Source organism: Homo sapiens, chromosome 9 (genome assembly GCF_000001405.40).
Source record: "Homo sapiens chromosome 9, GRCh38.p14 Primary Assembly".
In the NCBI taxonomy this organism is placed as follows: Eukaryota; Metazoa; Chordata; class Mammalia; order Primates; family Hominidae; genus Homo; species Homo sapiens.
The window spans coordinates 120868539-120891924 of NC_000009.12; the positions used below are offsets into that span (position 1 = coordinate 120868539).

General features: G+C 50.9%; 1 protein-coding gene across 14 annotated transcripts in view, besides 10 other annotated features; it reads right to left on the reverse strand.

The window, feature by feature from the left end:
* PHF19 (PHD finger protein 19) overlaps positions 1-23386 on the reverse strand; it is a 48478-nt gene that overhangs the window by 12888 nt on the left and 12204 nt on the right. For 5 of the 14 annotated variants that reach the window (XM_017014612.3, NM_001286840.1, XM_047423210.1 and 2 more), the window contains exons 2-6: positions 6018-6218; positions 5441-5522; positions 1905-2000; positions 1307-1407; positions 644-792 (exon numbers count right to left, since the gene is read on the reverse strand). In XM_017014612.3, coding sequence (XP_016870101.1) covers positions 644-792; positions 1307-1407; positions 1905-2000; positions 5441-5522; positions 6018-6203 — 614 coding nt within the window. In that variant the 5' untranslated portion in view covers positions 6204-6218. Of the gene's footprint in view, positions 1-269; positions 374-643; positions 793-1036; positions 1408-1904; positions 2001-3540; positions 3698-5440; positions 5523-6017; positions 6219-7342; positions 7825-8442; positions 8651-23386 lie in introns of those variants that run through there. The other 9 variants (NR_104601.1, NM_001286842.1, NM_015651.3 and 6 more) reach the window with 8 other exon arrangements.
* Positions 116-605: a silencer, noted in NCBI's record as "silent region_20224". NCBI's record gives its function as "represses an Ori minimal core promoter by ATAC-STARR-seq in GM12878 lymphoblastoid cells {active_cell/tissue: GM12878}" and the evidence as "EXISTENCE:reporter gene assay evidence [ECO:0000049][PMID:35858748]".
* Positions 4427-5050: an enhancer, noted in NCBI's record as "OCT4-NANOG-H3K27ac hESC enhancer chr9:123635243-123635866 (GRCh37/hg19 assembly coordinates)". NCBI's record gives its function as "activates a minimal SCP1, AML or CMV promoter by ChIP-STARR-seq in primed H9 embryonic stem cells {active_cell/tissue: H9 hESC(primed)}" and the evidence as "EXISTENCE:reporter gene assay evidence [ECO:0000049][PMID:30033119]".
* Positions 5051-5676: an enhancer, noted in NCBI's record as "OCT4-NANOG-H3K27ac-H3K4me1 hESC enhancer chr9:123635867-123636492 (GRCh37/hg19 assembly coordinates)". NCBI's record gives its function as "activates a minimal SCP1, AML or CMV promoter by ChIP-STARR-seq in primed H9 embryonic stem cells {active_cell/tissue: H9 hESC(primed)}" and the evidence as "EXISTENCE:reporter gene assay evidence [ECO:0000049][PMID:30033119]".
* Positions 7487-8078: an enhancer, noted in NCBI's record as "H3K27ac-H3K4me1 hESC enhancer chr9:123638303-123638894 (GRCh37/hg19 assembly coordinates)". NCBI's record gives its function as "activates a minimal SCP1, AML or CMV promoter by ChIP-STARR-seq in naive H9 embryonic stem cells {active_cell/tissue: H9 hESC(naive)}" and the evidence as "EXISTENCE:reporter gene assay evidence [ECO:0000049][PMID:30033119]".
* Positions 7487-8119: a biological region, named in NCBI's record as "H3K27ac-H3K4me1 hESC enhancer GRCh37_chr9:123638303-123638894".
* Positions 7670-8119: a silencer, noted in NCBI's record as "silent region_20225". NCBI's record gives its function as "represses an Ori minimal core promoter by ATAC-STARR-seq in GM12878 lymphoblastoid cells {active_cell/tissue: GM12878}" and the evidence as "EXISTENCE:reporter gene assay evidence [ECO:0000049][PMID:35858748]".
* Positions 8400-8449: a silencer, noted in NCBI's record as "silent region_20226". NCBI's record gives its function as "represses an Ori minimal core promoter by ATAC-STARR-seq in GM12878 lymphoblastoid cells {active_cell/tissue: GM12878}" and the evidence as "EXISTENCE:reporter gene assay evidence [ECO:0000049][PMID:35858748]".
* Positions 8690-8969: a silencer, noted in NCBI's record as "silent region_20227". NCBI's record gives its function as "represses an Ori minimal core promoter by ATAC-STARR-seq in GM12878 lymphoblastoid cells {active_cell/tissue: GM12878}" and the evidence as "EXISTENCE:reporter gene assay evidence [ECO:0000049][PMID:35858748]".
* Positions 9090-9139: an enhancer, noted in NCBI's record as "active region_28899". NCBI's record gives its function as "activates an Ori minimal core promoter by ATAC-STARR-seq in GM12878 lymphoblastoid cells {active_cell/tissue: GM12878}" and the evidence as "EXISTENCE:reporter gene assay evidence [ECO:0000049][PMID:35858748]".
* Positions 9400-9449: an enhancer, noted in NCBI's record as "active region_28900". NCBI's record gives its function as "activates an Ori minimal core promoter by ATAC-STARR-seq in GM12878 lymphoblastoid cells {active_cell/tissue: GM12878}" and the evidence as "EXISTENCE:reporter gene assay evidence [ECO:0000049][PMID:35858748]".

The following is a 23386-nucleotide window of genomic DNA, read 5'->3' on the forward strand; positions in this document are numbered from 1 at the left end:
CTCTTAACCACTCTTCAATACTTCCTCGTTTCCTACAAAGCTCCAAGGTAACACCTCTGCCCTCCAGCCCTGCTCCACAGTGCTAGATGCCACGCGGAGCCGGCCTTCTGTTCTCCCCTTGAGGTCCCGCCCCCTCGGGCCCCACCCCGAGCCCTTCCCTTCAGGGACCGCCCCTTGAGGCCTCGCCTCCTCAGGTCCTGTTCCCGAGGCCTTACTATTCCCTCCTCCCCACCCCGCCCCTCCACAGGGTGCTTCTCGACCTGCCTCACCTCCCTGGGGCCCTGCTTGGGCGGTCGCAACCCGCCAGGCCCGCCTCCCGAGGCCTCGCCCCAAGGTCTAACCTTCCGGGCCCGCCCCCCGAGGCCCCGCCCTCAGGTCCAATCTTCCGGGCCCACCCCTCGAGGCCCCACCTCCGCAGCGGCTGACCCCCCCCTCCCCGAGTCCCGCCCCCGAGGCCCCACCCCCGCGGCTGACACTCCAGGCCCGCCCCTCGAGGCCCCGCCCCCACAGCGCAACACACTGGGCCCGCCCTCAAGGTCCCCGCCTTGGCTGACACGCCAGGCTCGCTCCCTATGGGCGGTCCCTGCTGGCGATTCTTGGAGACCTGCCCTGCCGCCCGGGGGGCCCTGACCCCCTGCCTTACTCTCCGGGCCCGCCGCAGTAGCAGTAGCATTGCTGCTGGTTGGTGCGATGGGGCGAGTCCCACTCGAGCTCCTCGGGCTGGTAGGACAGCACCATCTTCACGGCCTGCAGCGTCCTGGCGATGGCGCCCTTCTTCAGCGCGCCGCCTTTCTGGGGGGAGACGAGGGCCCCAGTCAACCACCAGGTCCGGGTGGACCACGCGAGTCAGCACGCGGCTGTCTATTGAGGGAAGTGCTGCCAGGGCTTGGGGGACCCGCAGATATTCCAATATAGTCAGAAAAGCAAGGAGCTTTTTCTCATTAATTCCAAACCCATCCCCTCTATCCCAGAAGGAACTCCGTTGATAACAGAATTAAGAGTAATAAGCGCAATAAAGGCAACAATTACCAACATGTATTTACATGGATTTTCTTTTTTAATAGTAAAGCATCATTTATTGGTCCCGTTATTCCCGACACCAAACCCATCTCCACTTTACAGTTGAGGAAACTGAGGCTCAGGGAGTCTACAAATCCTGGCCAAGGACAGTGGCAGAGGCGCTATCTGTCTCCAAAGCCCAGGTGTGGCCCTTCTGCTTGGAGCTCAGACTCTGTGATGGGAGTCTCTGGTCTGCCCCACTGGAGGAGGCAGGAGAGGCAGGGACTGGGGAGGATGGAAGGCTCACCCGCACAGCCAGTGCGAAGATGCAGCGTCGGCAGAACCAAGGTGTGAGCAGGGGCTGGTCAGCACTGCCCGCTATGGGGATGTGGCACTGCTGGTGGTAACCTACGGCAGAGGAGGGGGCGGTGAGCGCCCACAAGGACATCGTGGCCCAAGGCCAGTTGGCCCAAAGGAGGCAGGGCTGGGAGGGCTGAGGGAAGTCCTAGGAGCTCTGCCTGCCAGCTGCCGGGAGCCTGGCTGCTGGTGCCCACCAAGATGGCCAAGTCAGTGTCCAGGCTGGGAACTAAATGACAGCATTGGCCAGTTGTGGGGTTGGGGGGGACACAGGAAGGTCTGACTTCAGTGCCTGAGCCCCATCTTTCCCACCCATCCTCTCCATCTAGCTGGGCCCCAAATTACATACACCATCATACCCTCCCAGCTTTCCCCAGGATCTCTTCCCAAGCCCTCACTTACAGCAACTGGCCCCCTTTCACCCTGCAGTGCCAAGAGAAACAGGAAGCCAGCTGAGGCCCCAACAGGCTGCAGCAGTACCCGTCAGGGGCCAGTGCGTGGGGACCTATAGGTCGGGGCCTTCTCAGGGCCCTGCTCGCTCCACTCACCCAGGCCACACTTCCCGCAGATGAGGATCTCATTCAGCGGCCCTGATGTCTTCCCTAGGCAGATGTTGCACTTGGGCTCCTCTCCTGGAACACCGGCTGAAAGAGAGGGCCTCGAGGGTCGGGTCCAGCTCACAGGAATGGAAGTTTTATACTCACATTCCAGATGCCCAGCCTCTAATGTCTGCTAGGCCTAGCGCTGGGCCCCACATGCCACCTCACTGAATCTCCCCAACCACTCTGAGATGCCTATCATCATTACCATTCGAAAGATGGGGAAATTGAGGCTCTGAAAGGTTAAGTCCCTTGCTTAGCTAGTAAGTAGGTGAGGGGGGGATTAAACCCATGGCTGTTTGACATCAAACCCTTTGTTCTTTTGACACATCATGCTGCCTCTCCCGCCTTATTTAACTTGTTTTGTTAAATGGTTGTTATTTTCTTAAAACTTTATTATGGGATAATATAATTTGTTTGTTTGTTTTGTTGAGATGGAGTCTCTGTCACCCAGGCTGGAGTGCAGTGGTGTGATCTTGTCTCACTGCAACCTCCGCCTCCCTGGTTCAAGCAATTCTCCTGCCTCAGCCTCCCGAGTAGCTGAGATTGCAGGTGCATGCCACCACACCCAGCTACTTTTTACATTTTTAGTAGAGACAGGCTTTTGCCATGTTGGCCAGGATGGTCTCGAACTCCTGACCTCAAGTGATCCACCTGCCTTGGCCTCTCAAAGTTCTGGGATTACACGCGTGAGCCACTGTGCCCAGCCTAGAAGTTATAATGAAACTCCATCTTCTCATCACTTATGAACTCATGGCCAATCTCGTTTCTACTATATTCCCACCTACTTCTCCTTCCTGTAATTATTTTAAATTGAGTCCCAGATACCCAATAGTTTTTCCATAAATATTTCAGTATGTATTTGTGAAAGATCAAGACTCTTTTTAAAAAACATAATTAAAACACCTCTACTGCACCTATAAGTTAACATAATTGCTTAATATCATTAACAAATTCAGTTAATGTTCTCATTTCCAATTGTTTCTTAAGTACAAATACCTTAACAATTTTAAGTCTGTTCTTTTGAATCAAAGTCCCCAAGTAAAGTCCATACATGGTGACTGGCTGATGTTTTTAAAATTGCTTTTAGTCTACAGGTCCCCTCTCCATCTCTTTTTTTCTTTGCATTTTATTTTGGTTGAAGAATAAATATGTTTTTATGTGTGAAAGGTTTGTATGTATACATTAAACACATTTTGATACGTGTTTGTCTTATTTCCCCAGCATGCTGAAAATTTTGTAAGGGTAGAAATGGGATCTCTTCGGCCGGGCGCAGTGGCTCACGCCTGTAATCCCAGCACTTTGGGAGGCCGAGGCGGGCGGATCACAAGGTCACGAGTTCGAGACCAGCCTGCCCAATAGGGTGACACCCCCTCTCTACTAAAAATACAAAAATTAGCTAGGCGTGGTGGCACGTGGCTGTAGTCCCAGCTACTCAGGAGGCTGAGGCAGAAGAATCACTTGAACCTGGGAGGCAGAGGTTGCTGTGAGCCGAGATCAAGCCACTGCACTCCAGCCTGGGTGACAGAGCAAGACTCTGTCTCAAAAAAAAAAAAAAAAAAAAAAAAAAAAAAAGAAATGGTACCTCTTCATCTCTGTATCCCCAGGACCTCATAGAGTGTGGCATGTAACAGGTGTTCCAAGACGTTTGTTGAATATATGGCCAGGCAGGAACGTTGCCTCCTATTCTTGAACATGCTCCCAGGAAGGTGGTGCCCACAGTGCATCTCAGTAAGTCCTCACTGGGTTAATGAAGCAATGGATCAATAACTACAGTGGTGCTCAGCCTTATGCTCTCATCTCAGGAGATGCTAGAGGGTCACCATTCTGCCCGGAAGGGGCAGTTCTGGCTAGGAGACAAGCCACTCTTCAGCTGATCACTGTGGGTACCTCCAAGGAGCCTGGTATGTGGTGGGCCTCCACAGGAGGTCAGCTAAGGTGCATGGTCTTCTCCATCTGGCTCCTTATGCTTTCAATAAGGGGGTAAACCAGGAGAGGAGATCCTCATTGCTTTGGATATTTATATAATACTATTTCAGGGGTTGGAGAGGAATCGGTCTGCACTGGCCACAATTTCTTGGAGAAGGGGGCAATTCGAAAGCTTTACTAACTGGCTGAGTTCTGCAGCCTCTTCTTGGCAGGCTTCTTGGAATCATCTCTTATTGTAACAAATTCTTTTTTTTTCTTTTTCTTTTCTTTTTTTTTTTTTTGAGACAGAGTCTCGCTCTGTTGCCCAGGCTGGAGTGCAGTGGTGTGATCTCAGCTCACTGCAACCTCCTGCCTCAGCCTCCCGGGTAGCTGTATTTTTAGTAGAGACAGGGTTTTACTGTGTTGGTCAGGCCAGTCTCAAACTCCTGACGTCAGGCGATTCACCCACCTTGGCCTCCCAAAGTGCTGGGATTACAGGTATGAGCCACTGCGCCTGGCTGGTAACAAATTCTTGAGTAACAGCTTCTCTAAAACCAATAGTACTGAGCTAAGCATTTTACATGGATTAGCTTACCTAAGCCTCCCAACCACCCTATGAAGCCAGTACTTTCACTATCACCTCTCACATGAAGAAACTAAAACTCAGGTCATATTACTTGCTCCTGCAAATGCAGCTAGTAAGTGGCAAAGCTGGAACTTGGTCCAAGGTCTACCTGACCCTAAAATCTGCTTCTTACCCTGCTAGGGGCCATGTCTCTTCTCCTGTTAGAGTATAAATGGCAAACAGGTTTCTCCTCTTATGCCAACTCTGATTGACAGGCAGTAGCTGCTTGGGGCTCCAAGTTGAAAGTACATGTGTTGTCAATGGCTACTGATGTCTGTTGTGTGTATGGGAAGGGAGAATGGTGGCAAAGATGGCCCTGACTTGCCATCTCTGCAAGGGAGAGATGTCAGCTTTCTGAAGGCAGGGATGATACCCAACCCAGATTCATTTCAGCCCTAAAAGCTGGTCTAGCTCCATCCAGGCATGTCCATCTTCACCCTGCCTGGCTCACCTCTGCTTTATTGGTTTTTCTCCCATTCCTCCCAACTCCTTGCCCCGTGGAGAAGGCTGCTTCCATTAGTTTTATTCATATGTTAAATCAGGGACACTGTGCTTGCATCTAGAGCTGACAATTCTGAATACCTGGGCACGCCCCCTTTTCTAGCCCAGACTGACGCAGAGCTTTGAGCAGCTGCAGCTGTAGTGCAGCCAGGAAGCAAACGCAGGCCTGAGGCCCAGTCCTGGCCCTCCCAGCACCTCCCTAAGCTACCTTCCCCACCTGCCCATCCTCCCTCCTGGGGTATGAATTCTCAAGGGGATGACTCATGTCCTAAGTACCTTCCTAAGTCAATATACAACCAGATTTGATCATCATCACAGGTGGGCTTGGGGTTCATGGTCAAGGGCAGATGCCAGGAGTAAGAGATGGAAGGACAGAAGGAAGAAATGAAGGCAGCAGAGGAGAGAAGACCTGGGGAGGTTGGGGGCTACCCGAAATGTTAGGAAAACTCACCATGCTGTATGTCCTTCCATAGGACCCAGTATTTGGAATTATCTTCGAAAGTCACGAGGCAGCTTTGCTTAGAGCTGCTGACCTGGGGTACAGATAGGAAGGAGCAAGTGAGAAAGGGCTGGGGAAAAGCCAACCTGGAACATAGTCTTCCTCCCCCATTTTTGTCTCCGTATGTTCCAGAAAGCAGGGCTAGAAGGGGAAGAAGGATGGCAGTTCCTGGACAGGGTGTACTCCTAGTCACCTGGAGTCGTACAGCCAGGGACCGATGGATGGCAACTTGGTCAGAATGTTGAGGACAGAAGCACAAGTCAGATGCTCCTCTGTGATCCTCTCAAACCTGACTTTTTTGTTTTGTAGGCTCTCAGAGCACTTTTCTAAAGAACTAGTTGGATGATGTTGACCCTAGGGATGGTGCCTGCAAGACCAGGCTCTGGCCCCTCCCACCACCAGCTTTGGGCATGAGGGACAAGAAGGGAATTCTCCAGCAATCCCCCTGCCCCCTGGTCTGACAGCCAGGCTGGAACATGAGCAGAGAGATTCTGAGTCTGAGAACAGGGGCCAGAGAGGATGGGTTTACCCTCTTGATCTTCCCGAGGTAGTACAGGCCATCTGTCCACCGGCACAGCACATACTGGCCCTCCGTCAGTTTGGACATCAAGTCTTTGAAGTTGTTCTTGACCTTCGCCAGGGCCCCCTTGTTGGGGAGGTGGCTGGTGGCACCATAGGAGTCCCGAGTCCCTGGATCCAGAGCTCGATTCTCCATCAGCTTCCCCTGACACTGGGAGAGAAAGAACAGGGTTTTTGCTTCTTGCTTCCCTGCTTCAGAAAGCCCATCAGGGGAAGGAAGGAAACCACCATTTCTGTACCCTGTGCTATAAGCCAGACTTGGTTATTATCTCACTGATTCCTCGTGACCATCCTATGAGGGAGACATTATTATTATTCACATCTTACAGATAGGGAAACAGGTGTGGCAAGGAGAAGAGGCTGATGGGCCAAAGGCAGAGCCATGGCCCATACCACACTACCTTTTAAAGAGAATGGATCTCTCAACCCACACAGAACAAAGTCCCCTACCCAGCGGGCCTGAACCACTCCCTGTCTCAGGAGGCTGAGGTTTTATTCCTTAAGCAAACACAGTCCATGTGCTCTGGATGGAGGATCTTCTCCAGGCAAGCAGTTGGGTTTTGTTTTTACCCCCAACCCCTGCAACCATCCCTAACCTGAGATCTGTCCAGAGAAAATTCACCTAGAAAGGAAAACTGGGTGGCTTGTAGCTAGTGTAGACTGGGTCATCTGTCTTTTGTAATCCCCCCTTCTGTTCTCAATTATGAGATGATTTAATGGAAACCAATTCTGGGACATTTAAACCCACTTATGCTTTCACCCAGATACACATTTGCTCCAAGCAGTGAAGTCATCCATCCCCATGCCAGCCTCTCCACGCCTGTCTCTCACCATCCTATTCAACGTGCAGTTCACCCATCGATTTCTCTCTCCCTGCCTGTGGTACTGCCTTCATGCATCTCAAACTCCTCCAAGCAATTAGTTGCCACAGCCGGCCCATTTTAAGTGCCATGATTTCTGGCTTTCCAGCTCTAGCTTCCATCCTCCTGCCCTGGTCTCAGTTCAGGCCTCATCTTTTGCTTGGGCCATTCATTCATTCATTCATTCACCCAATAACAGTTTCCTGGGCCTTGTGCTTACCTCCACTAGGCACCTAGGGTGGGGAACGGTACTACCAGCACCCAGTGCTAAACAGGCCGTTCCTGCATTCCTGCCTCTCCACCAGACTCTTCCGCAGGGCCACCAATTTCCTTCCAGAAACTTTCTGGGGCTCCCCACTGCCCTCACTGGTGCTCAAAGCCGTCCCTAACGCCCCCTCCTTTCTGCTGGGCTCACCTGGCTCCAAGTCCCTCCACATGCTCTCCACTACAGCCACACACAGCCTCTCTCTTTCCCCGCGGGCCTACTCGGGTCTCCTCCTTGTGGCCATGGCGCTGGGCACCTGGTGTTGTGACTATCTGTTCACAGGGAGAGAGTCCAGTGCCTGTTTCTGTGTGGTGCGTGTGTGTACTCCTGTGAGACTGGGCAGGATGATGTCTACGGCATTGTGCCAGGGAGTGTGTGAAGCTAAGTATGTGCGGGGCCCTGGGGCGAGCCAGGCACTGCAGGGGTCTCGGCTCCCCAGATGGTGGCGTGGCCACGACCTTCTCCACCCCCACTCCCATCTCCTTTTTCTCCAGCGCAGAGCGCACAGGCTCCCGGGCAGGGGATGCGGTCTGAATCCCTGTCCTCTCCCTGCCACCTGGCTCGCCCGGCGCTGCGAGGTCCCCGCCCGCCCGGCCAGGGGCCAGGCCGGGGCCGCTGCAGGTTCACAAACTGACACTTCCTCTCCCGCTGCGCCTCTAGGAGCCGGCCGGGTCGCCGCACCCGCCTCCACCCTGGCCGGGCGGGGGCCCCCGGGTGGCGCCCCCCCAGCCCCCGCCTCCGTCCTCCCGGAGCGGGCCCCCGCGGGCTGTGATTGGCTGATTCAAACCCATTTGCAAAGAAATGCCTGTTTGCGGGTTCCCGTCTGCGTCCAGTTCAAATCCGCGGCACCGGGAGCGCGGGGCCGGGCGGGGGCAGGAAGCGAGGATGATTCATGCGCCGGGGCCTCTCCCAGGGCGGCCGTTGGCTTTTTAAAAAGGATGTTCAGGAGGGGGGAAAAAGCTTGCAGAAGCACCCCCTTCGGGTTCAGCGCTCCTCTCCTCAGTCGCTCGGACGCCAAGCCTCCCCCATCCCAACCCTGCCGCAGCCTGACTTCGGACGTGAGCGAAATGCCAAACGCCCGTCTGTCCTTCCCCCACCCCGATAGGAAAATTAAAGATCGGGGGCGAGGAAGAACGACCTGTCACCCATGCCCCCCGGGGCTCGGGAACCCGGGTGGGGCCCCTCTGCCCCGCAGGTAACCTGCACCCCCGGTCCCCACCCCCGAGAGCCCCGCTCCGCAGGAGTCTCACCCCCCGGAGGCGTTCGGGCCGCCAAAGTTCAGGGAGATTTCGAAAAGAGAGGGATGAGGGCCGGGAGGGGAGAGCGTGGCGGGGAGTCCGCCCAACAGCGCAGAACTCACCGCGAGGCTGCGTGTCCGCCGGTCCCACTTGGAGTCTGGCCACCAGGCGCATCGGTGGCGGAGGCGGCTGCGCTCGGCCCGCGGCTGCCCGGCCGAGTGTCCGCCCGTGGGGCCGGGGTCGGGGTCTCGGCGGGGGCGGGGCGGGGCGGGGGCGCCGCGGGGAGGAGGGGGAGGCGGCGGAGGGAGGGGCCGGGGCGCTCAGGAAGGGGCCCCCCGGGCGCGGGGCGCCATCTTTTTCGCGTTTTCCCGCGAATTATTGACGTCCCGCTTATGTAATTAGCGGGGGCCGCGCCGGCCTCGCCATTGGAGCCCGCGGCCGCCGGGCTCCGCAGCGCCGCCAGCCCCCGCCCGCCCCCGCCCGCCCCGCGGGCGCGCATCCTCCGCGGCCACTAGCCAGGACCCGGGCCCCCCGCCGAGGAGCGGCCACACCGCGGCGCACACGGAGACGCCAGGCAGCGCTCATGGCGCACACGACCGCTCGCACACTTGTTGAGGAAACACAGCTCTGCGCGCAGGCACCGGCGGACCCTGGCACAGACACACAGCAGGGCGGCGCGGACCCTTGGCGCAGACACAGACCCAGGACGCCCAAACAGGCCACACAACACCTTGCACTAACAGCACAGGCGTTCGGCACAGAGACACAGCACAAGTATAATGTAGATACACAACACACAGTGCACAACGCATGTTGTTCCGACACAGGTCAGAACACACCACAGCATGTACAGGACACAAACACACCACAAAGAGAAGTACTGTACACACCAGCCATAGGCATAGATACACAAGGGGGAACACACTGTACACAACAGAGACACACAACAGAACATGCATGTAAGGTAGACGGACATAACACATAAAGTCACAACACAGACGGGCAAGAGACACAAGTTTTCCTGAAAAAGTGGCATTCAGATAGGTTGTGGAAATAGGTTAGTGGGTGTGCCAGGTGGAGGGAATTCAGTGGGCTAACAATGCAATTTTTAAAATACGGGTTAAGGATATCAAAAGGCAATTCACAAAAGAGGAAACCTACATGGCCGAAATAGCCCCAAACAACAAATTGCGTAGAGACACAGTGCACAGAAATACATGGTACAATCGCAAATATATACCACACGCACAACATGTCATGTAAATAAAGGGCACACAATGAAAGACAACATGCACAGAGTCATAGGAATGGCAGATGGAGTCAGTGGGCAGAGCTCCAATCATAGGGACCCTGCCCTGTGGGGGAAAGGCAGACATGGCCCCACCCAGACTCACTCTTGGGGGAAGGGAGGAAGAACACTTACCAATAACCCCACCCCCATCCTTGCCCTCAGTCCACAGCGCCCACCTCTGTGGCTACCATCCCACTCTGCAGACACCCCCACCAGACAGGGATATGTGCTTTCATGGGTGTGGCCAGTGGACAGCACCTTCCCCCAGAGCCTTCCCTGTTCACTGTCAGTTGCTCACTCTGGGCCCTCTGCCTCCTGGCCTTGGAGCATGATCTGTGCAGCCCCCCACCTCACCTTCTCAGCAGAGATCCAGGAGTCCTTTCACCTCCTTCCTCACTTCCTTCTGCCCCTTGATCCCCCTGCTCTCACCTGCCTCACTGCCCCATTCTGGATCCTGGCGCCTCAGCAGAACCTAGCACTGCTGAGTACCTGCCTGAACCTGGAAGGAAAGCCTGGGAGCAGCCCCATGGCACAAAATCTCCCAATCCTGGAGAGCACATTTTCAAGTCCCAAAGGGGCCCTAGGATTGTGCTACTTAACCATGTTCTGCCAAGAGAAGGTGTGTCCAACGCGGGTAGGGCTGATGATGGGAGCAGAACACTCCCACTAGCTTCTAAGCTGGCTGGGTCTGCCTTCAGGATGCTGGGGGACAGAGATGATAGAGCGAAGTGCTCACCTCTGAGGCTACAGGCCAGCTCCACCCATTACTGGCCATGGGAGCCTGAGTGTGTCACTTCTTTCTTTCTTTTTTTTTTAAACAATTCTTGCTCCAGAGACTTTAAGTCTTAAGCCTCCGTGTCCTCACCTAAATAGAGTTATTGGGAAGGTTAGAGTTAATGTATGCAAAGCCCCTGGTGCCCAGTAGGTGTGCAGTAAGTGATCATTGTATTAATACTTTGTTAAGAAATTCTGTATTCAGAATCTTGATTGCCCCACTGTGTGGGACTAGAGCGGGGGGATGTGAGACACACAGGTGGATGGGAGACACACAGGTGGATGAGAGACAAGGAACTGGCAACCTCGTGGAGGAGGCGGTGTTGATGCATAGATAAATAAGAGGGGATTGTGCTGTGAGCTGCACGTGGAATTGAATTGTCCTGGCTTCAAGTCCAGCTCTGCCTCTGAGCCAGGGCGGGGTCTTGGGTTAGCTAGACCCTCCTACACCATGTTTCTTTATCGGTTGAAAAGAGGGTAATAATACTACCCATCTCGTGGGGCTGTTGCATAAATGTTCAAATAAGACAATGAAGGAGCAGGTGCTTTTGTAAACTAAAAAGTTTGATATGCAAAATAAGAAGTTAAAACACTACAGAACAGGAAATTATAAATGCCACAAGAAAGGTACGGTGTCACCAGTGATTATTTAGAGGCAACTCTAAATTCGAATTGAGGAAAGAGAACAAGTTTCCCGGAAAAAGTAGCAATCAGTTAGGTTGTGGAAATAGGGAGGTGGGTGTGCCAGGTGGAGGGAGTTTAATGGGCTGACCAACAATCCAATTTTTTAAATATGGATTAAGGATATCAACAGGCAACTCACAAAAGAGGAAACCTAAATGGCTAAAATAGCCTAAAATGTGAAAAGGTGCTCAACCTTATTGGCCACGTGAGAGACGCAAATGAAGAGAACTGTGATACACCATTACACATCCACCAGATGGGCACGGAGTCGAGTCTGTCAATATAGGGGGGTGGGGGGTGAGGATGTCGCACAGTTGGGACCCTCAAATACCTATGGAGATATGAACTGGTAAAACGATTTTGGAGAACAGTTTGGCAACTTGTAAGAAAGTGGAAGATACTCATAGCTACAATTCAATGACTCCACTCGTCATTCAGCGCATAATTGTGAAAATTTAGAAATTAATGAATTATCCATGAACAGCAGTCCAGATAGGCCAGGCACTGTGGCTCATGCCTGTAATCCCAGCACTTTGGGAGGCCAAGGCAGGTGGATCACTTGAGGTCAGGAGTTTGAGACCAGCCTGATCAATATGGTGAAATCCCGTCTCTACTAAAAATACAAAAATTAGCCGGGCATGGTGGCGTGTGCCTGTAGTCCCAGCTACTTGGGAGGCTGAGACAGGAGAATTGTTTGAACCTGGGAGGTGGAGGTTGCATTGAGCGAAATCGTGCCACTGCACTCCAGCCTGAGTGACTGAGCGAGACTCCGTCTCAACAAACAAACAGCAGACCAGATAGATTAATTGTGATGTAGTCATACAATGGAATAATATACTGGGAGTAAAAATAAACTAAGTCTGCAGCCTCAACATAGTTACACCCTAGGAAAAAAACTAACATCAAGTTGTAGCATAGGTACAGTGTGACACAAATGATAAAAAATGTTTCTTAACGCATTCAGCTGGGCCCGTGGCTCAAGTCTGTATTCCAGCGCTTTGGGAGGCTATGGTGGGAAGATCGCTTGAGCCCAGGAGTTCAAGACCAGCCTGGGCAACATGGCGAAACCCTATCTCTACTAAAAATACAAAAATTAGCTGGGCATGATGGCATGCACCTGTAGTCCCAGCTACTTGGGAGACTGAGGTGGGAAGATTGATTGAGCCCAGGAGTTTGAGGCCACAGTAAGCCATGATTGTGCCACTGCACTCCAGCCTGGGTGACAGAGAGAGACTTTCTCAAAAACAAACAAACAAACAACAAAAAACCCAAAGAAATACAAAATAAGCTATGTAGACATTTTGGGGCTACAGTCAGCTAGTAAAAGTATTGAAACATGCATGGGAAATCAAAGACCCTAGATTTAGAATAGGGTAACCTTTGGGAAGGGAGGGACAGGAATGAGATCAGAAGGAAGCACATCGGGGGTTTGTTTTTTTTTTTTTTTTTTGAGAGAGTCTCGCTCTGTTGCCCAGGCTGGAGTGCAGTGGCGCGATCTCGGCTCACTGCAACCTCCGCCTCCCGGGTTCACGCCCTTCTCCTGCCTCAGCCTCCCGAGTAGCTGGGACTACAGGCACCCACCACCACGCCCCGCTGATTTTTTATATTTTTAGTAGAGACGGGCTTTCACCGTGTTAGCCAAGATGGTCTTGATCTCCTGACCTCGTGATCCGCCCACTTCTGCCTCCCAAAGTGCTGGGATTACAGGCGTGAGTCACCGTGCCTGGCCCACAGGGGGTTTAATTCTATCTGTATGTTTTATTTCTTAGAAAAAAAAATTAAAATCTGAGGCAAGTATGACCAAGTGTCAAGATGTAACAGAGCTGGGTGGTTGATCCATAGTTGTTCTCTCTGATCCTTCTCCTTCTCAAGTCTAAAACTTTTCCATGTTTGAGATATTTGGTGATTTTAAAGGTGGGAGGGGCAGGAAGCTATGAGGAGATTGCAGCAGAGGAGGTTTTGATGATAGCATTGCTTGTTAGGTGTCCAGGGTGGTTACAGTGCACAGTGTCCCCTCATGCATGGGACTGATCACCCTTCTTATTTGTTTGTTTGTTTATTTGAGATGAAGTCTTGCTCTGTTGCCTAGGCCAGAGTGCAGTGGCACGATCTCGGCTCACTGCAAACTCTGCCTCCCAGGTTCAAGCAATTCTCCTGCCTCAGCCTCCTGGGTAGCCGGGGTTCCAGGTGCACGCTATCACGCCTGGCTAATTTTTGTATTTTTAGTAGAGATTGGGTTTCACCATGTTGGTCAGGCTGGTCTTGAACTCCTGACTTCATGATCCACCAGCCTTGGCCTTCCAAAGTGTTGGGATTACAGGTGCGTGCCACTGCACCTGGCCCACCCTTCTCTTTTAAGGCTTGTCACAGCGTGGTGAGCCAGGTGTGGCAGGCATCAGGTCCATTTTGCAGGGGATGAAATGGAGGTTTGGAAAGGCGTAGTGATAAACTCAGTGTCACACACAATAGAGAGTCAGGGCTTGTCCCCTCTGCTCAGCAGTGTCTCAGTACCTCTCTGTCCAGGGAGACCACCAAAGGGCCAGAGAGCCCTGAGAGAAGGTTCCCTGCCTCCCAGTGATCCATCCTCTTCCTTCTGCTGTGCTATTCTATGTTTTCTTTCAATTAAGGACAATTTGGAAAATGTCAAAAAGCACGAGGAAGAAAATAAAAGTAACTTGTGATTTTCACTGTTACTTTTAAAATCAGATTTATCGAAATATACTTCACGTATGACAAATTCACTTACTTAAAATATACAGTCATTATTTTGAGAGAACATCATTTTCTTTCAGAAATACTTATTTGAATACCAAACAAGTTAGCCTATATGAAAGTGCTCTACAGCCAGGCACAGTGGCTCATGCCTGTAATCCCAGCACTTTGAGAGGCTGAGGTGGGCGGATCACCTGAGGTCCGGAGTTCAAGACCAGCCTGGCCAACATGATGAAACCCCATCTTTACTAAAAATACAAAAATTAGTCGTGCATGGTGGCGGCCACCTGTAATCCCAGCTACTTGGGAGGCTGAGGCAGGAGAATCTCTTGAGCCCAGAAGGCGTAGGTTGCAGTGAGCCGATATTGTGCCATTGCACTCCAGCCTGGGTGACAAGAGCAAAACTCCATCTCAAAAAAAAAAAAAAAAAGAAAGAAACTGCTCTACACACAAGAGGCTTTTCACAAATATGAATAATTATTATTACATAATTTTTGGAAGTAATTATTATGCAGGTGACCAGTTAGACGAGCCCATGTTTTATGGCCTGAATTTCGGGGTTGGTTTATCATGTCCTCAGCATGGAGGTGTAGAGAGTTTTCAGATTACAGTAGAAAGCACGGTTATTAACACCAGTTTTAAAAAAAATGGTTGCCAGGGTCAGACTGTGACCTGTTGGCATGCCTGTGGCCTTGGTTAGCTGCCAAACTATAAACACCTTTACCTGTGGCTTTTGTGGGGAAATGAGAGAAGTCTGCCTGCCTTCTCTGTGAACCCAGGGGGTGTAGAAAAGAAAGGGGAGCCTTCACCAGACACTGGAGATCCTATTTCCCTGCCTTGCCAGCTTGCTGTGGAACCAAGGATCCCTTCCCTTGTCTAAATTTTAGTCTCCCCATCTGTTAAAGATAAAGTGGTGGTTTGTTCACCCTTTCAACATAGTGCACATGTGTAGCGAACCATGCTGTAGGCAGGCACCATGCTAGGAATGACAGGCGTGGCATGAAGATGAATAAGATGCAGCCTTTGATCTCAGGAAGCTCCCGGTCCAGCCGGGCACGGTGGCTCATGCCTGAAATCCCAGCACTTTGGGAGGCTGAGGTGGGTGAATTGCCTGAGCTCCGGAGTTCGAGCCCAGCCTGGGCAACTTGGTGAAATCCCATCTCTACCAAAAATACAAAGAATTAGCTGGGCATGGTGGCATGCACCTGTGGTCCTAGCTACTTGGGAGCCTGAGGTGGGAGGATCACTTGAGCCTGGAGGCAGAGGTTGCAGTGAGCTGAGATCACACCGTGCACTCCAGCAGCCTGGGTGACAGAACAAGACACTGTCTCCAAAAAAAAAAAAAAAAAAAATAGAAGCTCCTGGTCCAGAGCTAGGGGGTGGGGCTAGGGGGACAGACAGATTGATAGATAATTGTGGGAGGGTGTCGAGACAAGGAGTGATCAGGACAAGGAGGGTCAGACCACAATGACCTCTAAGTTGCCTCTGATGGCAAAATTATTTGATTCTATGAACTCAGTCTAAGCTTTGTTTCTCCCTCACTCGGTAACCTAGGATGGGTCACTTCTCTAATCAGGGCTTCAGATGGACTCACTGGTCAATATATGAAGTCTAGAACAAATGAGTTGCTCCCAGTCATTCTTTATAAAGGTTGTTATATAAAGATTTGACCCACCAAAAGCTGCATTGACTATTTGCGAGATATTTTGTCTTCTTGTTTTTTATCAATTAGGTCTACATACTACATTCAATTAGAGATTTTGATTGATATGATTAAAACAGTGTGATCATAAAAGACTGACTCAGATATAGTTAATTAAAGATACCTTTAAAGTTTTCCCCACGTTAAAATACAGAGGTGTCATTTTATTAATGAACTCCAGTATTTACAAGGCATCCTTTCTGGAATCAAGCAATCCATGAGTCGATCCGCGTGAGGTGGATGAGCTCCTGGCCCCAAGCTGGGTGTGTAGGAGAAAGAGGAAATGTATGAGATGAGAGCTGCTCCCCGGGAGCCAAGGCTCTTGCTGGGCATTTCATGAAGGAGACAAGATATAACCAACTGCCCAAGATATAGCCAGAGGAGAGCAAATAAGAAGATAGTGGATACAACAGGGTCATTTGTATGATTCAACTAGTATTGGTGGAACTGAGGTTTGAACCCAGGTGATATGGTGTATTCAAAAGCTAATGCCAGTCTGGGCACGGTGGCTCACACCTGTAATGCCAGCACTTTGGGAGGCTGAGGTGGGCGGATCACCAGAGGCCAGGAGTTTGAGACCAGCCTGGCCAACATGGTGAAACCAGATCTCTACCAAAAAATACAAAAAAAAAAAAAAAAATTAGCTGGATGTGGTGGTACACGCCTATGATCCCAGCTACTCCAGAGGCCGAGGCATGAGAATCACTTCAACCCTGGAGGCAGAAGTTGCAGTGAGTTCAGATAGCACCACTGCACTCTGGCCTAGGAGCGAGACTCTGTCTAAAAAAATAAAAATAAAAATTAAAAAAAGCCAATACCAGCCACTCATGTAAATCCCAACTACTTAGGAGGTTGAGGTGGGAGAATCATTTGAGGCCAGGAGTTCAAGACCAGCCTGGGCAACATAGCAAGACCACATCTCTAAAAATAAAAATAAATTAGCTGGGGTGGTGACATGCACCTGCAGCGCCAACTACTCAGGAGGCTGAAGTAGGAGGATTGCTTGAACCCAGAAGTTCGAGGATGCAGTAAGCTATGATTACATCACTGCACTCCAGTCTGAGCAACAGAGTGAGACCCTGTGTCTTAATGGAGGGAACCTTCCAAGTCAAGTTTTCCAACTTCTCATTTTCAGATGGGGAAACGGATATCTAGAAAGCAGGAGAGGTTCGGCGCAGTGGTTCACGCCTGTAATCCTAGCACTTTGGGAGGCCGAGGCGGGCAGATCATGAGGTCAAAAGTTTGAGACCAGCCTGGCCAACATGGTGAAACCTCGTCTCTACTAAAAGTACAAAAATGAGCTGGGCATGGTGATGTGCGCCTGTAATCCCAGCTACTGGGAATGCTGAGGCAGGAGAATGGCTTGAACCCAGGAGGCGGAGGTTGCAGTGAGCCGATATCATGCCACTGCACTCCAGCCTGGGTGACAGAGCAAGACTCTATCTTGGAAAAAAAAAAAAAAAAACAAAGCAGGAGAGGTCTGGCCAAAGTCCTGCAGGAAAGACGCATTCAAGATGAAGTAGTAAATCAGCACATGAGCCATAAGTGGGTCCAGGCCTCTGCCCCTCCCTTGCCCAGAGATGTATGCCATGCCACTTTTGTCAGGTCCCCAGCAGTCCTCTTGAGTTTTTTAATTGCCAAAATTTATTTTAAAATCCTTCTGTTTGAGTGTTCCATGACATGTGACCTTCTTATGAGTTTCAGAGGTAATCCCTGCCTGGGTGGAGGAATACCTAAGTGACCTTCAGGACCTCTTTCAGCTTGGAGAAGCGGAAATTCTGTTGCCAGAATTCCATGGCTCTTTAAAGCTAATCTTCACTCTTTTACAGCTCTCAGAAGGAACTCTCACGTCTGGCCTTTCTCTGTTGTCTGTTCTGCTCCCTGATCTTCGGCTTAAGTTGGGGCAATAGTTCCAAGAGGTTTAGCTGGGACCATTCAGATCTGTGTCTTATAGCTGCTTCTTCCAAGATTACAATTCAAAGTCCCAGATGCCTCCCCCTGCAGAGGAGAGGAAACATCTGGGCTGGAGCTGCACGGAGAGAGCCCAGCTGTGTGGGACATCCCTCAGGGTAGGAGCCTGTGAGCTGAGAGCTCTTCATTGCAGATGTGGTTCTAACCATCGGGGTCTGGGTCTCACCCATGAGGCTTCGACAGGCCCCAGGCATGTGTGTGCAGGGAATCTGAACAGTCAGCCTGCAGGAAAGAGGCTCTGGGGAGTTATATGTGGCTGGTGTGGTGGCAAGTAGAGTTTGTATGGACACCGAACCAAAATAGAGAAATGCGAAGGCAGCTAGACAGAAAGTGGGTGGGGGGAAGCATTCCAAGGAACAGACCTCTGCAGCAAGGAGCTTGGTCTGTGCAGGTCACAGGGAAAGCAAAGAAAAACATAGGCTCAAACCACGAGTCATTTATTCACTCATCCTTCACGGCTAACCACAGCATTTAGCCATGCACTCCTGGTGTGACTATGGAGATCCCTTCCACAGCCAGATGACCCAATGTCAGCTGGAGTGTTTCCCACTCCAACGGCTGGTTCATCCAGCCTGTAGTCACCGCCCTCTGGCAGAGGCACCACTCTGGGCTGACCCCTCTGTGATGGTCAATTTTATATGTCCACATGACTAAGCTATCATACCTAGTTATTTAATCCAACATCAATCTAGGTGTCGCTGTCAAGGCATCTTAGAGATGTGGTTAACATTTATCATCAGTTGACTTTAAGAAAAATTCCCTCGAGACCAGCCTGGCCAGTATGGTGAAACCCTGTCTCTACTAAAAATACAAAAAAATTAGCCGGGTGTGATTGCACACACCTATACAGCTACCCGGGAGGCTGAGGCAGGAGAATTGCTTGAACCTGGGAGATGGAGGTTGCAATGAGGCGAGATCGCCCCACTGCACTCCAGCCTAGGTGACAGAGCCAGACTCTGTCTAAAAAAAAAAAAAGAAAAGAAAAGAAAAGAAAAAAGAAAATTACCCTCGATAGAGTGAGTAGGCCACAGCCAATCAGTGGAAGGCCTTAAGAGTAAAAACAGGTTTCTGGCTGGGTGCGGTGGCTCACATCTATAATCCCAGCTCTTTGGGAGGCCAAGGTGGGCGGATCACCTGAGGTCAGGATTTCAAGACCAGCCTGGCCAACATGGTGAAATCCTGTCTCTACTAAAAATGCAAAATTAGCCAGTCGTGGTGGCGCGTGCCTGTAATCCCAGCTACTTGCGAGGCTGAGGCAGGAGAATCGCTTGAACCTGGGAGGCGGAGGTTGCAGTGAGCCGAGATCACGCCATTGCACTCCAGCCTGGGCAACAGAGTGAAACTCCATCTCAAAAACAAAAACAAAAACTGAGGTTTCCTGGAGAAAAGATTCTGTCTGAAGACTCAAGCATCAATTCCTGCTGAGTCGCCAGCCTGCTGGCCTGCCCTATAGATTTTGGACTTGCCAGCTCCCACAATCATGCAAATTAATTTCTTAAATACATCTGTTTATGAACAAACACACACACACACACACACACACACACACAGACACACACACACACACACACACAGATGGTCCCTGAATGATGATGGTATGCCTTATGATTTTTTGGCTTTACGATGGTGCAAAAGCTATATGCATTCAGTAGAAATCATACTATGATATTTGGTAGGTTAGGTATATTAAATGCATCTTCCACTTACGGTATTGGAGAAGCCCCATCGTAAGTGGACAAGCATCTGTATACATACCTAGTGTATCTCCCATTGGTTCTGCTTCTCCAGGGACTGACCGACCCACCTTCCTTCACAGTCCTTGAGAACGGAGCTCGTCCCCTGAGCACCTAATGACACGCGTGCACGTCTCTTGATTCCTTGTCCTCTTGCAAGTCCCCACACGTCTGTCGCCCAGACTGGAGTGCAGTCGCACGATCTCAGCTCACTGCAACCTCTGCCTCCCAGGTTCAAGCGATTCTCCTGCCTCAGCCTCCCAAGTAGCTGGGACTACAGGCATGCGCCACCACTCCTGGATAATTTTTGTATTTTTTTAGTAGAGAGGGGGGTTTCACCATGTTGGTCAGGCTGGTCTTGAACTCCTGACCTCAAATGATCTGCCCATCTCGGCCTCCCAAAGTGCTGGGATTACAGGTTTGAGCCACCGCGCCTGGCCCAGCCTCCTTCTTCACACTCATGACCCTTAAAAGGCTAGAAGCTCCCAGATGGGAATGGAATTGCAGGGAGAACAAGCTTGGTGGCAGCTCGAAGAGCTGAGAGGTGTGGAACCCAGCACTGAGCCGTGAACTTATGTCTGCCTTTCAGGATGCAGGCAGCAACCTGGACAACTGGGTCTATCTGCTGTGATAATTCTCAGGCCTTGGCAAGAGAGGCTATGCCAATATTTTCATGGCACCCAAAAATGGTTTTCCTGGGAAGAAACTCCTTGGTCAGTGTCCACAGCACCAGGGGAGGTGGCTATTTCCTGCCATCTCTGTAAACAGGATGGAGACCAAGGGCCTTGTATCAGTTGGAATTCTTGATTATGAGCAACCAGGACCAACTCTGTCCATCCAAAGCAAAAGGGGGACTTTCTGGAGGGTACTGAAGGTACACAGAATGAACAAGAGGCTGGAGAACAGGCTTGGACAAAGGGCAGGACCAAGAGAGGAATTCTGGCCAAGGGAAGGCTGCAGGCACAGTCTGATCCAGGGTTCTCTACTGTGGGTGAGTGATCTCCAAGGGTCCCCTCACCACTCACTCAAGAGTCAGCCCCAAGAATGATTATCTGATTGGCTAGTGTTGCATTTTCCATGTGCCTGTCCACTAGCCAGGCAGGATAAGATGCCATGGAAGGATTTAGCTCCACTAGGATTTCACAGTGATGGTGGCCTTGGGAGGTGGGTGCTAGTTTTATCCTTCCTCAAAATGGGGAGCTCCTCCAAAAAGGAACCAGAATTTTAAGGTGGGGGTGGATGCTGGACAGATCATAAGTGACAGCTAAACCTCTTGGAGCTATTGCCCACCTTAGGCCAATAACAGATGAGGCCAGGCGCGATGGCACACGCTTGTAATCCCAGCACTTTAGGAGGCTGAGGCGGGCGGATCACGAGGTCAGGAGTTTGAGACCAGCCTTGCCAACATGGTGAAATCTCGTCTCCATTAAAAATACAAAAATTAGCTGGGCATGGTGGCAGGCGCCTGTAGTCCCTGCTACTCGGGAAGCTGAGGCAGAAGAATCACTTGAACCTGGGAGGCGGAGGTTGCAGTGAGCTGAGATCATGCCATTGTACTCTGGCCTGGGCGACAGAGCAAGTCTCCATCTCAAAAAAAAAAAAAAAAAAGGACCAAGGTAGCCTGGGCGCAGTGACTCATGCCTGTAATTCCAGCACAGGAATTGGGAAGCCGAGGTAGGAAGATCCTTTGAGCCTGGGAGTTCAAGGCCAGCCTGGGCCACATGGCGAAACCCTGCCTCTACGAAAAATTAAAAAATTAGCCTGGTGTGGTGGCAGGCGCCTGTAGTCCCAGCTACTCAGGAGGCTGAGTTGGGAGGATCAATTGAGCCTGGGAGGTTGAGGCTGCCTTCAGTGAGCCATGATTGTGCCACTGCACTCTGGCCTGGGTGACAGAGCAAGACCCTGTCTTGAAAAAAAGAAAGAGAGAGAGAGAGAAAGAAAGAAAAGAGAAAGAAGAAAGGAAGAAAGAAAGAAAGAGAAAGAAAAAAGAGAAAAAGAAAAAGAAAGAACTAACAAGAAAGAAAGAGAGGAAGGAAGGAAAGAGTGGACAGGCTCTAGGATCTGGACTGGACTTGGACTTAGAATCTGGACTTGGACAACCTAAGGTCAGGTTCTGCCATGTATTAAGCAATGTGGATAATAATGGCACCCACAGCTCACAAAATTGCATGTGAAAACACTTTGTAAACTATAAAGTATTTTGAGCCCTGGAGGGCAGTGGGATGGGACCATCATGCCTCAGGCAGCTTCTCATCTCAGTGCCCAGTTCAAGACCTGGCACCCAGTAAATGTCCCATAAGTGTTTGCTGAGTGAATAGATAAACAAGTGATTATCATCATCCTTTTAACTTGATCTCAGCTTTGCAGAATAAAAACAGGCAGATGCTGTTGGACCCTGATTCAGGTTTTGTGAGCTGAGGCCTCACAAATGAGCCTGCTTTTTTTTTTTTTTTTTTTTTTCCTGTTAACGCTTTTGACGTTTTCATTTTAATATGTGAAACCTGGCTACTTGTCTCAGGGAGAGTTTATGGAAAAAAAGCTTCCAGCTGGCTTTGGGCAGCCCATAAAAATGTACTGAAATGTCTAACTTTGACCAGTTAGAAATTAGGAGCTGTTGGGGGATGCAGGCCGGTGACGCCACTCGCCCTGGTGAGGCCACTGAATTTCAGTAATTAGCTCTCTGGGCAGGAGGACTCGCTCCTAATTCCTTCCTGGTTCCGAGTCAAAGGATGAGGCCCTGAATCTGTTAAAGAGAAACCACAGCTTTCAGATAACAGACAAACATGTCTTTAACACACGCAATCTTTGATTCAAATGATTTCAAAGGGCATGGGGGAGGGAAGGGTTTTTGTGAGCTTTAACCGAAGCCGCTCATCAGAATGTCAGCTCTCCAAATCCTATCCTTCCCTCAGCTCAAGTCTGACCTCCTCCAGGAAGCCCTCCTTGGTAACCCCAGCCCATCACAGGTTTGTTCATCCACACGACTCCTTGCTTTAAAACTCTCCAGAGGGTCTGCCTAACTTCATGGTCAAGTTCAGTCTTCTTAGTTTGGCATACAAGGCCCTTTGTGATCTGACACCTTCTCACCTGTGTAGCCTCTTCTCCTACTCTCCACCCCCACCCTTTAACCCAGGTGCGACAAACAACCTTCACCCCTCTCCCCGGAATTTGGGCCTCAGAGCCTTGGACTGTGTTTTTGCCTTGATGGGGATTTTCCTTCCCCTTCGTCATGTGGCTGGATGGTCCTTATTCCCAAAACTCACCCCAAGCCTCTCCTGCAGGGGTGGGGAGAGATTGAGCCCCCAGGGCTGGGTTAGGTATCCCTGCTCATGCCCCAGAGCGCCTGGGTTTCTGCTCATCACAGTTAGTGTAAGGATCCATTTACTCATCTGCCTCTCCCGCCCTCTTCCCTTCTCTCCCCTCCTCTCCCCTCCTTTCCCCTTCTTCTCCTCTCCTTCCCTCCCCTCCCCTCTCTGAGGAACTTGGTCCAGCTACAGTCAATATCTAGAGAAGGTATTGGCCTAGAGAACCTTGCTCAATCTTAAGCCCGCACACCTGCCGTACTTTGGGATCACCCCGGGAACCTTAACATGCTGATGCCTGTGTTCTTATCTTCAGAGACTCTGGTTTGATTGGCCTGGATGTGGCCTAGGCATGGGGTGAAGAGTGTGGGTTGAAAAGCTCCCCGGGTGGTTCAAGGTGCAGCCCAGGTGGAGCGCCACCATAATTTACAGCACACGACTCAAGACCCACCCAGCCACTTAGAGGAGCTGCACTCCAGGCACCTCGGGGAGTATAACCTTGAACTCGGAACCCCACTATATTTGCCATATTTGTTGTGTTGAAAGAAAACTAGTCATCTGTTTATCTGAGTCAGTAGCATTGAGCAGCTGTATAGTCCCCCACAGGCCCCACCCAGTCTTCCGTGCTTGTTAGGAGAGACGGAAGCATCACAGTCACCTGGTAGAAGGATGCCTGTCTGAGCCCCACCCCAAATCCAAGGAGCCAGACCAGGGACCCTGTGCTATAAACAAGTCTCCTGGTGATCCTTCTGCACACAAATGTGCCAGGGCTCAAAACATCCTAAAA